The sequence below is a fragment of the Homo sapiens genome, chromosome X (assembly GCF_000001405.40).
Source record: "Homo sapiens chromosome X, GRCh38.p14 Primary Assembly".
Classification (NCBI taxonomy): domain Eukaryota; kingdom Metazoa; phylum Chordata; class Mammalia; order Primates; family Hominidae; genus Homo; species Homo sapiens.
In genome coordinates, this window is record NC_000023.11 from 139,807,365 (window position 1) to 139,824,137 (window position 16,773).

The 16,773-nt window shown below is 37.6% G+C and overlaps 1 protein-coding gene across 21 annotated transcripts in view; it reads right to left on the bottom strand.

Moving 5' to 3' along the window:
* Positions 1-16,773, bottom strand: part of ATP11C (ATPase phospholipid transporting 11C (ATP11C blood group)) — a 210,556-nt gene that overhangs the window by 81,017 nt on the left and 112,766 nt on the right. For all 21 annotated transcript variants that reach the window (XM_047442018.1, XM_047442024.1, NM_001353810.2 and 18 more), the window contains 3 exons: positions 11,974-12,063; positions 9,499-9,579; positions 7,514-7,621 (listed from right to left, as the gene is read on the bottom strand). In XM_047442018.1, the coding sequence (XP_047297974.1) occupies positions 7,514-7,621; positions 9,499-9,579; positions 11,974-12,063 (279 nt within the window). The remainder of the gene's footprint in view (positions 1-7,513; positions 7,622-9,498; positions 9,580-11,973; positions 12,064-16,773) is intronic.

Genomic DNA, 16,773 nt, shown 5'->3' on the forward strand with positions numbered 1-16,773 from the left:
TTAAAAACATCAAAAACCAAAGCCAGCCCAACTGTTGACTAGATTGACTCAACCGCCAACACTAGTGGCCTGACAGAAGAAGCCAGGCCCATTTCAGAACACATATACCACTGACCTCAGTGAATACCATTCTTTTACATACAATGCCCAAAATTCAATTAAAAAATGAGATGCACAAAAACACAAGCAAAAAATGAGCCATCATTGAAAGATAAAGCAGTCCATGAAACCAGACCCAAAATGTCCAGATTTTGTAATTATGAAACAGGGACTTAAAAACAGCTATGATTAAGATGTTAAATGGGTGGGGTGTGGTGGCTCACATCTATATTACCAGCACTCTGGGAGGCCAAGGTGGGAGGACCGCATAAGGCCAGGAGTTTGAGACCAGCCTCGGCAACTTAACAGAACCCCATCTCTATAAAAAATGATAATAACAGTTAGCCAAGTGTAGTTGCACACCTATAGACCCAGCTACTCTGGAGATGGAGGTGGGAGGACTGCCTGAGCCCAGGAGTTCAAGGCTGCAGTAAGCTATGGCTGCGCCACTGTACTCCAGCCTGGGCAACAGAGTAAGACCCTGTCTCTTAAAAAAAAAAAAAAAAAAAAGATATTAAATGGTACGGTATTTAGTGGAAAAGGTAGACAACATGTAACAGTGAACGAAGAATGCTGGCAGAGGGATACTACAAAAAAATGAAAATGTAAAGTCAGAAATGAAAACCATGTTATCAGAGATGAAGATTTCCTTCAACTAGTGGACTGGGTACAACAAAGGAAATAATCACTAATTCTGAAGACAGAGCAACTAAAATTATCCAAAGTGATATATAAACAGGAGAAAAAGGAGTGTACTTAAAAAAACAACAAATTACTCAAAGGAGAAAATATCAAACAGTATAATAGTCATGTAATTGGAGTACCGGAAGAATAGAGAGAATGAGTCTGAAAAAATATTTCAAAAAGATAATGACCAAGAATTATCCAAAGTTAATCAAAGCCGACAAACAATAGATCCAAGAGAACTTCGAGAAGGATAACTACGATGAAAAAAATGTAGGTATATCATAGTCAAACTGCTGAAAACTGAAAATAGAAAGAAAAATGTAAAGGCATCAAAGAAATATTATATACACAAGAACAAGAATAGAAATGAAAGACTCATTAGAAACTATGCATATCAGAAGACAATGGAGTAATATCTTTAAAGTACTGAAAGAAAAAAACCCCTCTAACCCATAATTCTATATAGCCAGAAAAATAATTTTCGTAATTGAAGGTGAGATAAAAACTTTTCCATAGGAACATTCACTTCCAGCAGATTTACACTATAAAATACTACAGAAAGCTCTTCATGGATAAAAAATAAGATACTATATGAAAATTTAAATCTGCATAGGGAAATGAAAAAATGTGGGTAAATATAAAATATAGTTCTTATTGTTAATCTTTTAAAAACAGTTTTAGGCTGGGCACGGTGGCTCCCACCCATACTCCTAGCACTTTGGGAGGCTGAGGCAGGCAGATCACCTGAGGTCAGGGGTTCGAGACCAGTCTGGCCAACATGGCAAAACCCCGTCTCTACCAAAAATACAAAAATTAGCCAGGTGCGGTGCCACATGCCTGTAACCCCAGCTACTCAGGAGGCTGAGGCAGAAGAATCACTTGAACTCAGGAGGCAGAGGCTGCAGTGAGCCGAGATCGTGCCACTGTACTCCAGCCTGGGTGACAGAGTGAGACTCTTGTCTTAAAAAAAAAAAAAAAGGTTTTAAAAAGATAATTACAACCTAGTAATTCTGCTCTAAGTTATATACTCAAAAGAATCAAAGGGAAAAACTCAGATACTTATATACCAATGTTCACAGCAGCATTAATCAAAATAGTCAAAAGTTAGAAATAACTCAAATGTCCATCAACATATAAATGGATCAACAAACTGTTATATACATAAATTGGAATATTATTCACCTTTAAAAAGGAAGGAATTTCTGATACATGCTATAACATGGATCAACCTTGAAAACATTATGCTAAGTGAAAGAAGCCAGACATAAATGGACAAGTATTGTACAACTCCACTTACATAAAGTATTGAGGATAGGGAAATTCATAGAGACAAAAAGTATTAATAGAATAGAGGCCACAAGGGGCTGAGGAAGGGAGAAATGGGAAGTTACTGTTTAATGAATAGAGCTTTGTTTGGGATAATGGAAAAGTTCTGGAAATGGATAGTGGTGATGGTTGTACAACATTGTGAATGTACTTACTATAAATAAATTGTACACTTAAAAATGGTTACTTAAAAATGGTTAAATGGGGCCTGGCGCGGTGGCTCATGCCTGTAATCCCAGCATTTTAGGAGGCTGAGGCGGGCAGATCACCTGAAGTCAGGAGTTTGAGACCAGCCTGACCAACATGGAGAAACCCCGTCTCAACTAAAAATACAAAAAAATTAGCCGGGCATGGTGGCGCATGCCTGTAATCCCAGCTACTTGGGAGGCTGAGGCAGGAGAATCGCTTGAACCCAGTAGACAGACGTTGCGGTGAGCCAAGATCACGCCATTGTACTCCAGCCTGGGCAACAAGAGCAAACTCCATCTCAAAGAAAAAAAGTTAAATGGTAAAGTTTATTTTATATATTTTATTACCAAAAAAGACAACTCACAGGCAAAAATAGTAACATATTGTGGGCTTTATAAAATGTAAAAGTAAAACGTATGACAACAATAACACAAAGGGTGTGAATGAGAAAATGAAAATATGCTCTCTGAACACAACGGAATTAAATTAGAAACCAATAACAAAAAGGTATCTAGGCTGGCACGGTGGCTCACACCTGTAATCCCAGCACTTTGGGAGGCCGGGGTGGATGGATCACCTGCGGAGTTCGACACCAGCCTGACCAACATGGTAAAACCTCATCCCTACTAAAAATACAAAATTAGTCGGGCATGGTGGCGCATGCCTGTAATCCCAGCTACTTGGGAGGCTGAGGCAGGAGAATTGCTTGAACCCGGGAGGTGGAGGTTGCAGTGAGCCAAGATTGTGGCATTGCACTCCAGCCTGGGTGACAAGAGCGAAACTCCATCTCAAAACAAAATAATAATAACCAGAAAATTCCCAAATATTTAGAAATTACATAACAAACTTCTAAATAACCCATGAATCGAGGAAGAATTAAAGAGAAATCAGAAAATATTAAACTAAATGAAAATGTAAACATAATATATCCAAATTTGTAGGCTGTTGCTAAAGCAATACTTGGAGGAAAATTTATAGCATTAAACATTTATATTAGAAAAGATGTTCAAATCAACTCCTTTTACTAAATCTAACCTAACACCTCATTTTTACCCAAGGAGCTTCTTTACCTCTTAGCATTGTTCCTCATTCTCTGCCCCAATCCATATGTTTTCACACTCTGCCTCTCTGAATTTTACAATCTATTTCATGCCCATCTCATGTGAGAAAACTGTTTTCATTCCCGTTCTCTAAATTCAGAGTTTTTTTTTTTTTTTTTCAGACGCACTCACTGGGTTCTGACCAGTTATGGTCTTGTATTTTTATTCTTTTAGCATTATGTGGCATGACTACTAAGCTAAACTATAAAACTTCTTGAGAGCATGAACCATCTCTTTCATTCTTTGTAACCCTTCTGTAACTCAGCACAATATTTCAATATATTTTGGTTGATTCATTGGTTGAAGTACTAGAGTATAACTTTTATTTCTATTTGGCACTAAAGCATGACATATGATTGAGAGGTGTCTTACTATATCTAGTTTCTGATATTTCGGACGCCAAAAAATACTCCTTCCATTAAAAATAATAGTGTCTTCACAATGGAATTCCTCAAGTCCTATTATAAGTCTCATTCTCTGTGCTGTATGAAATTCCATCCAGTCTCATGGCATCATACGGTATGTACAGACTGATGACACCCAAATTTCAACTTCTATTTAAAACACCTCCTCTGAGCTCCAGGATTGACAACTCCAACTGTATGTCTAATAGGTTTCTCAAACTTAACATAGCCAAAAGTGAATTCCTGATTTCTCTTCACTCCCACCTCTGTCCCTAAATCTGTTTTTCTCCTAGGCTTTCCCATCTTATTTAAAAGCACTAGCATTTTCTTTAATAGCACTATGTAATTCCCTCAGTTGCTCAGGCCAAAACCAGGAAGGCTATCTTAATTATTCTTTTTTTTTTTTTCTGTTTCTCTCACCCACTACATCCTAAATCACTAAATCCTGATTATTCTACCTCCAAAAAATATCCTGAATATATCCATTTCCCTTAAAATCTAAACAGGTAGTAAAGAGTTGTGGTTAAGAGCATGGACTCTACACCTAGGCTTGCTTTAATTCAAATCCCAGCTTTCCAACTTACTAGTAGTGGGCAAGTTCCTTAACCTCCTTATGCCTCGGTTTCATCATCTGTAAAGAGAGGATAATAAAAATACCTACTTCATATGGCTGTTGTTGAGGGTTAAATGAGTTAACAGAATGTAAAAAAAGACTGCCTGGCATATACTACATACCATATAAATGGTGACTACTATTTTTATTATTGTTATCAATACTACTATCATCCTAATATAAGCCCTTATCATTTTTTGCCTAAGCTATATCTCTCTGATTGCACATTCATGCTTTCATTTTGCCTCACTCCAGTTTTATTTTTAAAAATCATCAAGTCACTCTCCGGCTTTAACACTTCAAAGACTCCCCACCACACTAAGGATGCAGACCAAGTCTCTCTCTTGCTCAAAAGGAGTCTCAACAAACTCTTTCCCCCGACTCCCCAGCCAAGCAATCTGCTATTTAGAGACTGCTGGCTAATAAGCATCTCTTCCCACACACTTACACTCCAGAAACAGCTACATCAAATAGCATCTCACACAATAATTTAATCACAATAGCTTCACATTTATTTAATCAAGATTATACCTGGTTGAGTTCAGCCTCAAGGAAAAGAAGCTTGGTGGAGGGAAAATGAAAAATGGGGGCCTTTGTAAAGGGGAGTGGGGTGGAGTGTCAACAAAATCAGAAAGAGGAAATGAAAGAAAGGGAGAGATGTAAGAGGCCTTTGCCTGCTTTGCAATTTTACGTAGTGTACTGGGAACAACAGATTGGATGCTATGAATCATTTAGGCAGCCTTTGTTTGTTGTTACTGTTGTTGGTTTTTTTTTTTTTTTGAGACAGGGTCTCACTCTGTCACCCAGGCTGGAGTGCAGTGGCTCGATCTCGGATCACCGCAGCCTCAACTTTTTGGGCTCAGGTGATCCTCCCACCTCAGCCTCCCAAGTAGCTGGGACTGCCTGGCTAATTTTTTTGGAGAGACAGGGTTTTGCCATGTTGCCCAGGATGGATTCCAACTCCTGGACTCAAGCGATCCACCCAACTTGGCCTCCCAGAGTGCTGGGATTACAGGCGTAAGCCACTGTACTCAGTCTGCCTTTGGTTCTTACGCTGATCAATAATGCTGAGTTTCTACAGTTGTTTCAAAAACTTCAGATCTTAACCTAACCTAGTTCGGCACAAGTTCCCCCTTGACCAGGATGTAAAGAATAGAGAAAAGAAAAAGTAGAAAAAGGAAGACATTCTATGTCAAACACTGGTGACCCTCCCACTCTGTAGTCTTCCTCCCATCATTACTATAAGATGATGCAAGGAAATTTAACTATTGTTGGGCATATGGAGAATTCTTAAAATTCAATAAGAAAACAACCTGCTTTAAAAATGGGCAAAATCTAAGCAGCATCTCACCAATGAAGATATACAGATGACAAAGAACCATATGAAAAGAAAGTCCATATCATATGTTATCAGTGAAATGCTAATTAAGACAAAAGTGAGATAGTACTACACACCTGTTAAAATGGCCAACATACAAAGCACTGAGAACATCAAAACCCAGTGAGGATGTGGAACAACAAGAACTCCCATTCATTGTTGGTGAGAATGCAAAATGATACAGCTACTTTGGAAGATAGTTTGGCAGTTTCTTACAAAACGAAACATACTCTTACCATACAATTCAGCACTTCTTTGTATTTACTCAAATGAATTGAAAATGTATGTCCATATAAAAACCTGCACACAAATGTTTATAGCAGTTTTACTCATAATTGCCAAAACTCGGAGGCAACTAAAATGCCCTTCAGTAGGTGAATGGATAAACTATGGTATATCCAGAAAATGAAATATTATTCATCACTAGAAACAAATGAGCTATCAAGCCATGGAAAGACATGGAAGAAACTTGAAAGCATATTACTAAGTGAAAGAAGCCAATCTGAAAAGGCTGTATGATTCTAAATATGTGACATCCTAGGAAAGGCAAAACTATAGAGACAGCAGAAAGATCGCTGGTTACCATGGGTTGGGGGGAATAAGGAATGAACAGGAAGAGAACAGAAGATTTTTAGGGCAGTGAAACTATCCTGGTATGACACTACTATGGATACATATGTACATATATACAAATGTAGGCTATGTGGATATGTATCCTATATTTAACAAAACCCACAGAATGTACACCAAGAGTGACCCCTAATATAATCTATGGACTTTGGGTGATAGTGTGCCAAAATAGGTTCACTGATTGTAACAAATGTACCATTCTGGTGTGGGATGTTGACAGCCAGAGAAAATGTGTTTGGGGACAGTGGGTTTATGGGTACTCTCTATATTTTCTACTCAATTTTCCTGTGAACCTAAAACTGCTCTAAAAATATAATTTTTTAATTTAAAAAATCTAATGAGAACCAAAAAATTAGTGTTTGACATGGACAAGTCAAAAATGTTATTTGACAGGGTCTTACTGGGTAAATAATAAACAATGATTAACTGGAATAAACAATTGCCTGAGATTGTCAAAAAAAAAAATACTACTACCTTGGAAGTCTCTTATGTTGCTGATGGGAATGTAAAATGGTACAGGCACTATGGAAAATAGTTTAGTGGTTCATTAAAAAGTTAAACACGTAATTACAATATGACCCAGCAATTTTCCTCCTAGGTATATACCTCAAAGAATTAAAAACAGATGTTCAAACAAAAACTGTAATTCAATGTTCATAGCAATTCATAATACCCAAAAGGTAGAAACAACCCAAATGTCCATCAGCTGGTGAATAAATAAAATGAAATGTTATTCAGCTATCAAAAGGAATGAAATGCTGCTATATACTATAATGCAGATGAACCTCAAAAACATTCTGAGTGAAAGAAGCTAGACAAAAAGGACACATAAGAAATATGAAACATTCAGAATACATACATCCATAGGGACAGAAAGAAGGTTAGTATTGCCAGGGCCTGGGAGGAGGGAGAAATGTGGAGTGACTGCTTATGGGTATAGGGTTTCCTTTTCGGGTGATGAAAATGTTCTGGAACTAGATAGAGTTAACGGTTGCACAACATTATAAAGTACTAAATGACACTAAATTATACACTTTAAAATGGTGTATTTTTACCATTAAAAAAGGAGTGGACTAAGAAAAAATACCTTGATTTTTTCACTTTCTTTTCTCACTCGCTTTGCATTTTCAATAATGTAAACAGTGCTTTTGTTGACTTCATTGTCAGCTCTGTGTCTCAGACAATCCTCATATCCCTGAAAGATAAAAATAACTATATAATTGAGTTCTGATAATGAAATAAAGCTGTTAATAAATTTCTATATCCTCCCATGAGTCAACACCAAATATTTATAATTATAGCATTAATTTAAACTCAGAATGCTAAAGAGACAATGCTACACATTTTAATAGCAAATCTGAGACACACTTTCAAAATACTCCTTAGATAAATAGCTTTGTTGTGTTAAAAGTTTTCTCCACTCTTTAAACATTAATGAAAACACAAGCACTGGAGACTTAATATTTTCATGTGTGAAAGGCTATGATTTATTTTAACTGTACTCTTGAGTTAGTTAATTCTATTTTTTAATTTGAAAAAAGATTGTCCTGGGTTTGTATTTTCTTATAGCCATAATCACTTACATATAATCTTTTGTATATGCTGTAGTAGACTGTTCGAGTAATCATCTCCAAGGGAGTATTTTAATTATTTCTCACCCACAGAGAATAATAGAAAAGGCAAGCAAGGATTGTTTTGGCAGAGAAGCTATGATAAGTTGTAGAGATCAACAGCTAAACTTTTCAACTGACTTGGTGACAAAAGAAAATATAAATTGGTATTCATCGTTTCCAGTTAAAAGTAATCAGAGAAAGATCTAATGGCTCATTTTACTTTGGACTTTTCATCTAAAGTAGATTTAAGCCAAAAGATCTAAAGGATGTTCATGAATGTTTGATCATGACCTCCTCTCCTTTTTTATATACCTTTGTCTTTTTTCGTTGTAAGAATGTCTGTACCTTTTCAAACACAACTGTTTGAAAAGTCTCTTCATCGCCTCCCCCCACTTTTTCCCCTCAGGTACTATATCCATTCTTCTTCTGTCCTCTTTATGACAATGCTAAGCTATCACTTTATAGAGTACATTTTGTGATGCTGGTGAAGAAATAAAGGTCCTAACATGAACCAGTATTGGGAGCAGAATGAATCAGTAAAAAAGCCTTTGAAAACCACACATGCTATTCTTGGAACCAGCAATTTTATGATGTTAAAGAAAATAATCCTATCAGTCTAAGGAAAAGAACATTCCAAAAGTCTTTATTTTGCAACTGAACACTTGATAAAATATTCTTATAGTTCCTGGTAGGCAAGATATAAGACCAGATAACCCCAAGAGGAAAGGTAATCTTGTTCCCAATAATGCTAAGAAGACCTTTGTTTTGCAAGCTTCTTTGGTACCCTTTTTAAAAGCACTTTGTTAAATATCATCTAAAAATATGTTTGTAAATAGTCAGATGCTGTGGACTGACACAAAACATGATTAACATTGTTAACCTACCCTTTCACCTCCAATTTCCTGTTTCCATTTTCATCTGCAATTTTTCAAACATACTAGCATACAAAATGTTCAAAATACTTCAAAGACATCCATATCACAATCTGTGGCAGTCTATCAGCTCTGACAAAAAACAGGAAATGTCCCCTCTACCTACTACCCCCTGAAGCAGTAGAAGGAAAAAACAAGAAAATTAAAGTATTCTTCCCTTGAGTTCTCGCTACAGGCTTAAGCAATTTTTAAAAATCCACAAAAATGGGAGTTTTTCACACAGACATACCACGCTGAAACAATTAATATGCATTAAAAAATCTGCCTCCTATTTCCTGACTGGGCTGTACCTTTTACCTGCTCTTTCTTTTACATTTACACCCACATACACAGATATTTAAGAGGAAACAAGGAAATACATTAAGGATGTGCCTATCATTTTAATAGGTTTTCAAGAGGAACCAAATATAAAATAAATCCATAAAGGATACTACCCACTGTATATAAATATGAAAAAGAGCCTTTGACAATGAAATTCCAACAAGCCTGGACTGAAATGCAGGTGCAAGTGTAAATAAGAAATTTACCTGCTTGATGGCTGTAACAGTTATAACAAAGAAAAGTGGAAGTCCACTGGTAACTGGGCTAGTTGGTGTGTCTACTGTGACCTAGGTAAATAAAATTAAATTGAAAGTAAAATGAAAATTTGTCATTAACTCATATGCAGCACTTACATGCTGCAAACATTTCAAACAGAAACATAGACAAAACACTTTCCAGTAGTAGGGTAAATATTAATTTTCATTAAAACAAAAGCAAACTACATGGCAGTTAGTTTAAGAAATAGTCCTAAATTCAGGCATAGTTTTTATCCCAGCTTGGATTAACCCCTTTATTGAAATATATCCATTCACTTACCACCTATTTGCTGAGCACCATTCTGTCAGCGCTTGTGCTATTATCAGCAAAGCTCTAGAGATACTGCTTTAAACAAGATGGAGACAAGTCCCTGCCTTCATGTAGCTGGCAGCTTACAGGAAAAATCAGACAGTAAAACAAGTGTGTAGATGCTGAGGTCTGAAGGGTAAACAGGAGTTAACTAGACGAAAGGTAGTTTTCTAGGCACAGTGAACAGTATATGCAGGTCTCTAGGAAATAAAGGAAGCCAGTGGCGAGAGGGAGTGTGGTGTGAGATGGGGCTGGAGAGGGAGGCAGGAGCCAGACTGTGCAGGGCCCTCTAGGCCAAAGTAAGCTGTTCATTCTCTATCCCACAAATAGCAGGAAATCCTTGAAAGTTTTAAGCAAGGAAAGGTCACATGAACAGAACTGCATTTTGAAAAGATCATTCTTACTGCTCTGTGGAAGATGAATTAGAAGGGAACAAGAGTGAAGGCAGGGAGTCTATTTAGGAGGCTATTGCTGTAATCTAGGTGAAAGATGATGGGCTTGGACTAGTGTTAGCGGCAGGCATGGAAAGAAGTTCTATAAATATTTAGGAGGCAAAAATGCCAAGAGTTAGATGTAAATGCTAATATTAAAGATGTCTTCCAAGTATCGGGTTAGCATGTCTAGGTGAATGTTGTCATCATTTACTGACACAGGAAATACTGAAAAAGAACTACATTTAAGGGAGGATGATTTTGAGTTCAGTCTGCCCTCCCAACTCGTTGACTCTCATCTCCAACCCTCAACAAGCCCTGCCTCTGCCATACACCCTGTGTTGTAGATACAATGTATACTTCCATGTACGCAAGGCTTCTACATGGCTCTGTGACTTTAGGCAATCTCTTCCCTATCCCTGAAATACCAGTTCAGCATTCTCCACCAAGTAAATCCTTCTAATCCTTAAAGGCTCTGTTCAGATAGCATCTATTCTCTGAAGCCTTATCAAATTCCTCTTGGGTAGAAAAAAATGATAACTTACACTGTATACCCAAAGCATTCTGTTAATGCTTCTTGAATGGCTTTACTACATTAAGTGAATACATAACTGTTATGTGACTGGTCTTCTCAGCTATAGCATAAATTCTTTAAGAGTAGAAAAGCCATATCTTGATCTTCATTGTACCTGCTACCATTTTTGTTGTCTGTCCTACTGCACAGCACATAGTAGGTAGGTGAGTGGTATACATTTGCTGAACTGAAATGAAATGCACTGCCCACCAAGTAGAATGATTCTTTCAAGCAGAATCCTCTAGGTAGTTTATTCTATATCTGTAAGACATCTGACCATAGATCCAGAGGAGCTCCTTTTCAAATCTTCCATCATTCAGGATTAAAATAGGCTCTTGCCCATATTATATCCCAGACTGATTTTAAGTAGCAAGGCTAAATTCAATTACAGTACCATTTACTCAAAGCCTCAAAGTGAGTCAACAGAAGCACTTAACATCAACAGGGCATTGGAGCAACTTCAATGGGATTTTTCTGCTTCATTTAAAAAATGAAATGAGAAAAAAAGTACCTTTAATGTAGTAAAATTTTCAGGGGTAATTATGGCGAGGAAAAGATTTTAATAGCTTACAGATTTAAAGATGGAAGACACAATTTAAACTGTCTAAAATTTAAAACACAAAACAGTAGAAAGAATACAGAGAAGCAGATTGATCTAACTAGGCTCTCACCCTTACAGTGAGTAAATGAATGAGAGAGAGCAAAAATGGTAATCAGGAAGATGAGTGAGAAGTTTCCAATTAGGCTGAAACTGGTATGTAACAAAATAAAACTACTAGTTTGAACTATTTTCAGTTTTGATATATTCCATTTCATTTAATGGTACACAATACACGTCATCCTGGGATGAGCAAAAATATGATATCCATGAAAATTTCAAAGAAAGTAACAATGAAACAAAATCTCAACAGGTTTTCTAGTAAAAACACAACTTTAGAAATTTACAAAATGATAATCTTTAAATGTTATGTTTCTACTTTAAGAAGTCATAATAAGCTCTGGAATGTCTTTTTTTAATTACATGGCATTTTAAGGTTAGAAATAGATTGAAAATTCGTTTAAAGCAATCAAGTTTCTAAAAGTTAAGTGGCTGTTTAAGGAGCTCTTACCTGTACAAGGAAGATTATGAGAAAATAAAAATTTGCAATTCTTCTAAACTGTTCAAACAGATTCTTTGGGAGAAAATTCCAAAGTGTATACTGTAAGGGAGGAAGAAAAAAGAACACTGTTATGAAGAAAACTTGAAAAATCTTAATAGTAATGACTGATTATGGGTCCACATTATCATATAAAGTGATATTTAGTATGTCCAACACTTTGAAACTGAAATCTCACACATATACATAAGCATATATTTAGAGGCACTGTATATGAAAACCTTTTTCAGAAATGAAGCTTTCATTCTACGCATTACAATAACCATCTAGTCTCATACCTTTGCTTTCTCTGACCCAATCTAAATTAGGTTCCTTGTTATGTGTTCTCATGTCACCCTATATATACTTACTTGATAACACTTATTATAGTGAGTTATATATGTGTACATTTTAAATTAAAGTTTCTCCCTTGATAAGCAAAGAGTTCTATAGGAGCAGGTTGTTCACCTGTATTGTTTACAATTTTCCCAACACTCAACACAGTGCCTGGTACAAGGCAGACAATAAATTATTTGGATGGCCAGGCACAGTGGTTCACACCTGTAATCCCAGCACTCTGGGAGGCCAAGGCAGGCAGATCACCTGAAGTCAGGAGTTTGAGACCAGCCTGGCCAACATGGCAAAACCCTGTCTCTACTAAAAATAACAAAAATTAGCCGGGTGTGGTGACGCACACTGTAATCCCAGCTACTCGGGCGGCTGAGACAGGAGAATCGCTTAAACCTGGGAGGCAGCGGTTGCAGTCAGCCAAGATCTCACTACTGCACTCCAGCCTAGACAACAGAGCGAGAATGAGACTCCGTCGCCAAAAAAAAAAAAGGCCTGGGCAACATGGTGAAACCCCATCTCTACTAAAAATACAAAACTTAGCTGGACATGGTGGTGCACGCCTGTAGTCCCAGCTACTTGAGAGGCTAAGACACGAGAATCGCTTGAACCCAGGAGGCGGAGGCTGCAGTGAGCTGATATGGTGCCACTGCACTCCAGCCTGGGCGACAAAGTGAGACCTGCCTCAAAAATAAATAAATAATAAAATAAATAAATAAATAAATTATTTGGAGGAATGAATGAACACATTAATTTCTGGCTCAGCTAACCTCTGGAGTCTTGATGATCATAACAGATACCCCTATGAGTCACTCTGTCCCTATGAGTACCTCCAATTTCCATGACAGCTGGGAAGGTGTATACACAACCCTGGGCCATGGAGGGCTTTCATTTTAATCAATAACATACCACTCTGGGCTGCGCTTTGGTAATTGGTAATAGGTAAAAGTTTCATGCTGAATTGCACACGGCCAGAACTCTTAGGCCAACTGTCAACTGCAGAACTCTTAGGCCAACTGTCAATCGTACTTTGTCCCTGATACCTTAAGCTCAGGGACTGAATCACTTAAAAGTGACCAAAAATCATTGAATTTTTCAGATGACCTAGTAAGACCAGAAACTAGAAAGAAAGAAATGTTTCTTAACCTAAAAAGCTAAATTTACATTTGAGAGTTCTGCGGTTGACAGTTGGCCTAAGAGTTCTCGTCTTCTGACCATGTGCGATTTAGCATGAAACTTTTACCAATTACCAATTACCAAAGCCCATCCCAATTATCTGTATAATATGTGAGAACATAACCTTTAATAAGAGGTGACTGAAAAGCCAAGTTGTAGAGCACGACATACTATATGGGAATTTACTAACCTTTCAGTTTAAAAAGGCTTATGGGCTCAAAATTTAGGGAATCCTCAGGGAAAAAACACAAAAGGAGGCAAGTACATTCAGTAGAACAGCTGCATTACAACCAATAACCAACTTAGAATAGGTTCTACCCTGGAGTCCAAGAAGTTCCTTAGGGAAGATAATTTTAAAATAAATGCAGAATTGTGCATGGATGTGCATCACTTGGGAGAAGAAGGTCCACACTTCTTATGAGATTCCCAAGGTAGCTTGTGACCAAAAATAGAAGCCACTCAAAACCACTGATCCAGTCACTTTGAAGCTGACATAGTTCAGACCAGCATTTTTAACTGTCCCAATTATTTAAAATCAACTTTCTAAAACAATAAGCTAAACTCCAACAACAGGCTAATGGCTGAGCTTCTGGTACGTTACCCTTCTGTTCCCAAATTAAAGAGTTTTTAATTAATCAAATAAGCATTACAGAGTCATCTGTGAAAGGTGATATAAACACATCAAAAGGGAATACTTTTGCTGTTGTCGTTTTTAAGTCCCAACTGTTAGTTGACCACTGTTTTATTAAATGAACTGCTTCCTGGAGGAATTCTGATTATTCCCTTCATAGGAAATGACTGCCCTCTTCTCTCCTTCATCAAGTCATGAGCTCTTAAGAGATCATGGAGCATGTCCTAAGTCCCCTTATCACAGGTGCCTAGAACAATAGTTTAGCACACAGAAGATATACAAGAAATCTTTATTAAAACTTGTGCCCTAGCCATTTACTCTACTGGTTTAACTAAAAGGTAAACTTAGTTTCTAGCACATCTTTTTTAGTATAATACAAATGTAAGATTTTAATGCAGACCAAGAAAAGTCTACTTTTTAGAGTTTTCTAACTAAAAGTGAAATTGAGTTACAGCCATATACATCAAGTTATTCAAATTAACTTGTTTATCTAAAAAGTAGATTCTCCAGCTTGGTCAGTTGCTACAAATCAAAAACAATGTTATCTCAAGCATGACCTCTATGGCAAAAAAAAAAGTTAATCACAAGAAGAAAATGTGTATAGCAGTTTTTTAGACACAATGATGAGAATTCAGTTTTTGTTACAAGTTAGTTCTTGCTTGGAGACGTCAGTAAATAGTATTTATTTATTTATTGAAACAGAGTCTCACACTGTCACCCAGGCTGGAGTGCGGTAGCGCGTTCCCAGCTCACTGCAGCCTCTGCCTCCCAGGCTCAAGCAATCCGCCCGCCTCAGCCTCCTGAGTAGCTGGGACTACAGGCACACACCACCACACCTGGCTAATTTTTGTTGTGTGTGGTTTTTGTTTTTTGGGTTTTTTTTGTTTGTTTGTTTGTTTGTTTGTTTTTTTTGAGACAGAGTCTCACTCTGTCACCCAAGCTAGAGTGCAGTGGTGTGATCTCAGCTCACTGCAACCTCCGCCTCCCAGGTTCAAGCGATTCTCCTGCCTCAGCGTCCCGAGTAGCTGGAATTACAGGCATACGCCAACACACCCGGCTAATTTTTATATTTTTAGTAGAGACGGGGTTTCACCATGTTGGTCAGGCTGGTCTTAAACTCCTAAACTCAGGCAATCTGCCCGCCTCGGCCTCCCAAAGTGCTGGGATTACAGGCGTGAGCCACCGCGCCTGGCCAATTTTTGTATTTTTTGTAGATACGGGGTCTCCCTTTGAACCATCTCCGAGGCTGGTCTCGAACTTCACCCGCCTCAGCCTCCCGAAGTGCTGGCATTACAGGTGTGAGCCACTGCACCGGGCCTCTTTTATACTATCTTTAAGTACAACTATAAACTTAAAAAGCAGCCCAGACATTTAGAACATGTTTAAAACTATTTATACAGAAAATGCCAGCTTTGGGCTGGGCATGATGGCTCACACCTGTAATCCCAGCACTTTGGGAGGCTGAGGTGGGTGGATCACCTGCAGTCCGGAGTTCGAGACCAGCCTGGCCAACATGGCGAAACCCCGTGTCTATTAAAAACACAAAAAATTAGCCAGGCGGGCGCCTGTAATCCCAGCTACTTGGGAGGCTGAGGCAGGAGAATCGCTTGAACCCATGAGGCGGAGGTTGCATTGAGCTGAAATCGCGCGCCACTACATTCCAGCCTGGGCGACAGAGACTCTTGTCTCAAAAACAAACAAACAAACAAAAAACGCCAGCTTTCCCGGTACATACAATGCATTTTATATATGCTTTGTAGTGGATTAAATAATCTGTACACAAGTGTGGCCACTAAAGATGAAATTATGTGAAAAAGTTGTGGGTCACTGCCTCAAATATGTATCATCTAATTTAATTTGAAACCAAAACTTTATAAACTTACTAAGCAAATTTCCCAAAGGAGGAAAGTTGAAGAGAATCTCAGCTTTGAGAGTCAATTATTTCATTTAAGCAAAAGGAGGCTTTAGAACTTTACTTGTTTTGACCAGTTCTGTGTTACCCAAGATTTCCAATTTATCATTAAAAATGCTGATGGTTTAGCATTAAAAATGCAGATGAGGAACTTGAGACTCCAAATAACTTTTAATGTGTCTGAATAACTTTTAATGTGTCTGAATAGCAGCAAAAAAGAAAGAGAAAAAGGTAAAAATAAAGTAGTAGATATTTAAAGTAATAATAAAGTTAGCAGTCAACTGCTCAAAGAAAACTTAGGAAAAACTCTTCTGGACATTAGCCTAGGCAAATAACTGATGACGAAGACAAAAAAGCAAATGCCCGAAAACCAAAAATAAACAAACGGGACTTAAATTAAAAAGCTGCACAGCGAAAGAAATAATCAACAGAGTAAACAGACAATCTATAGAATGGCAGAAAATATTTACAAATTATGATTCTGGCAAAAGACTAATATCCAGAATCTATAAGGAACTCAAACAGTAAGAAAAAAAATCAACTCCATTAAAAGCTGGGCAAAGGGCGGGGTGCAGTGACTCACTTCTGTAATCCCGGCACTTTCGGAGGCTGAGGCAGGGGGATTACTTGAGGCCAGGAGTTTGTGACCAGCCTGGCCAATATGGTGAAACCCCGTCTCTACTAAAAATACCAAAAAAAAAAAAAA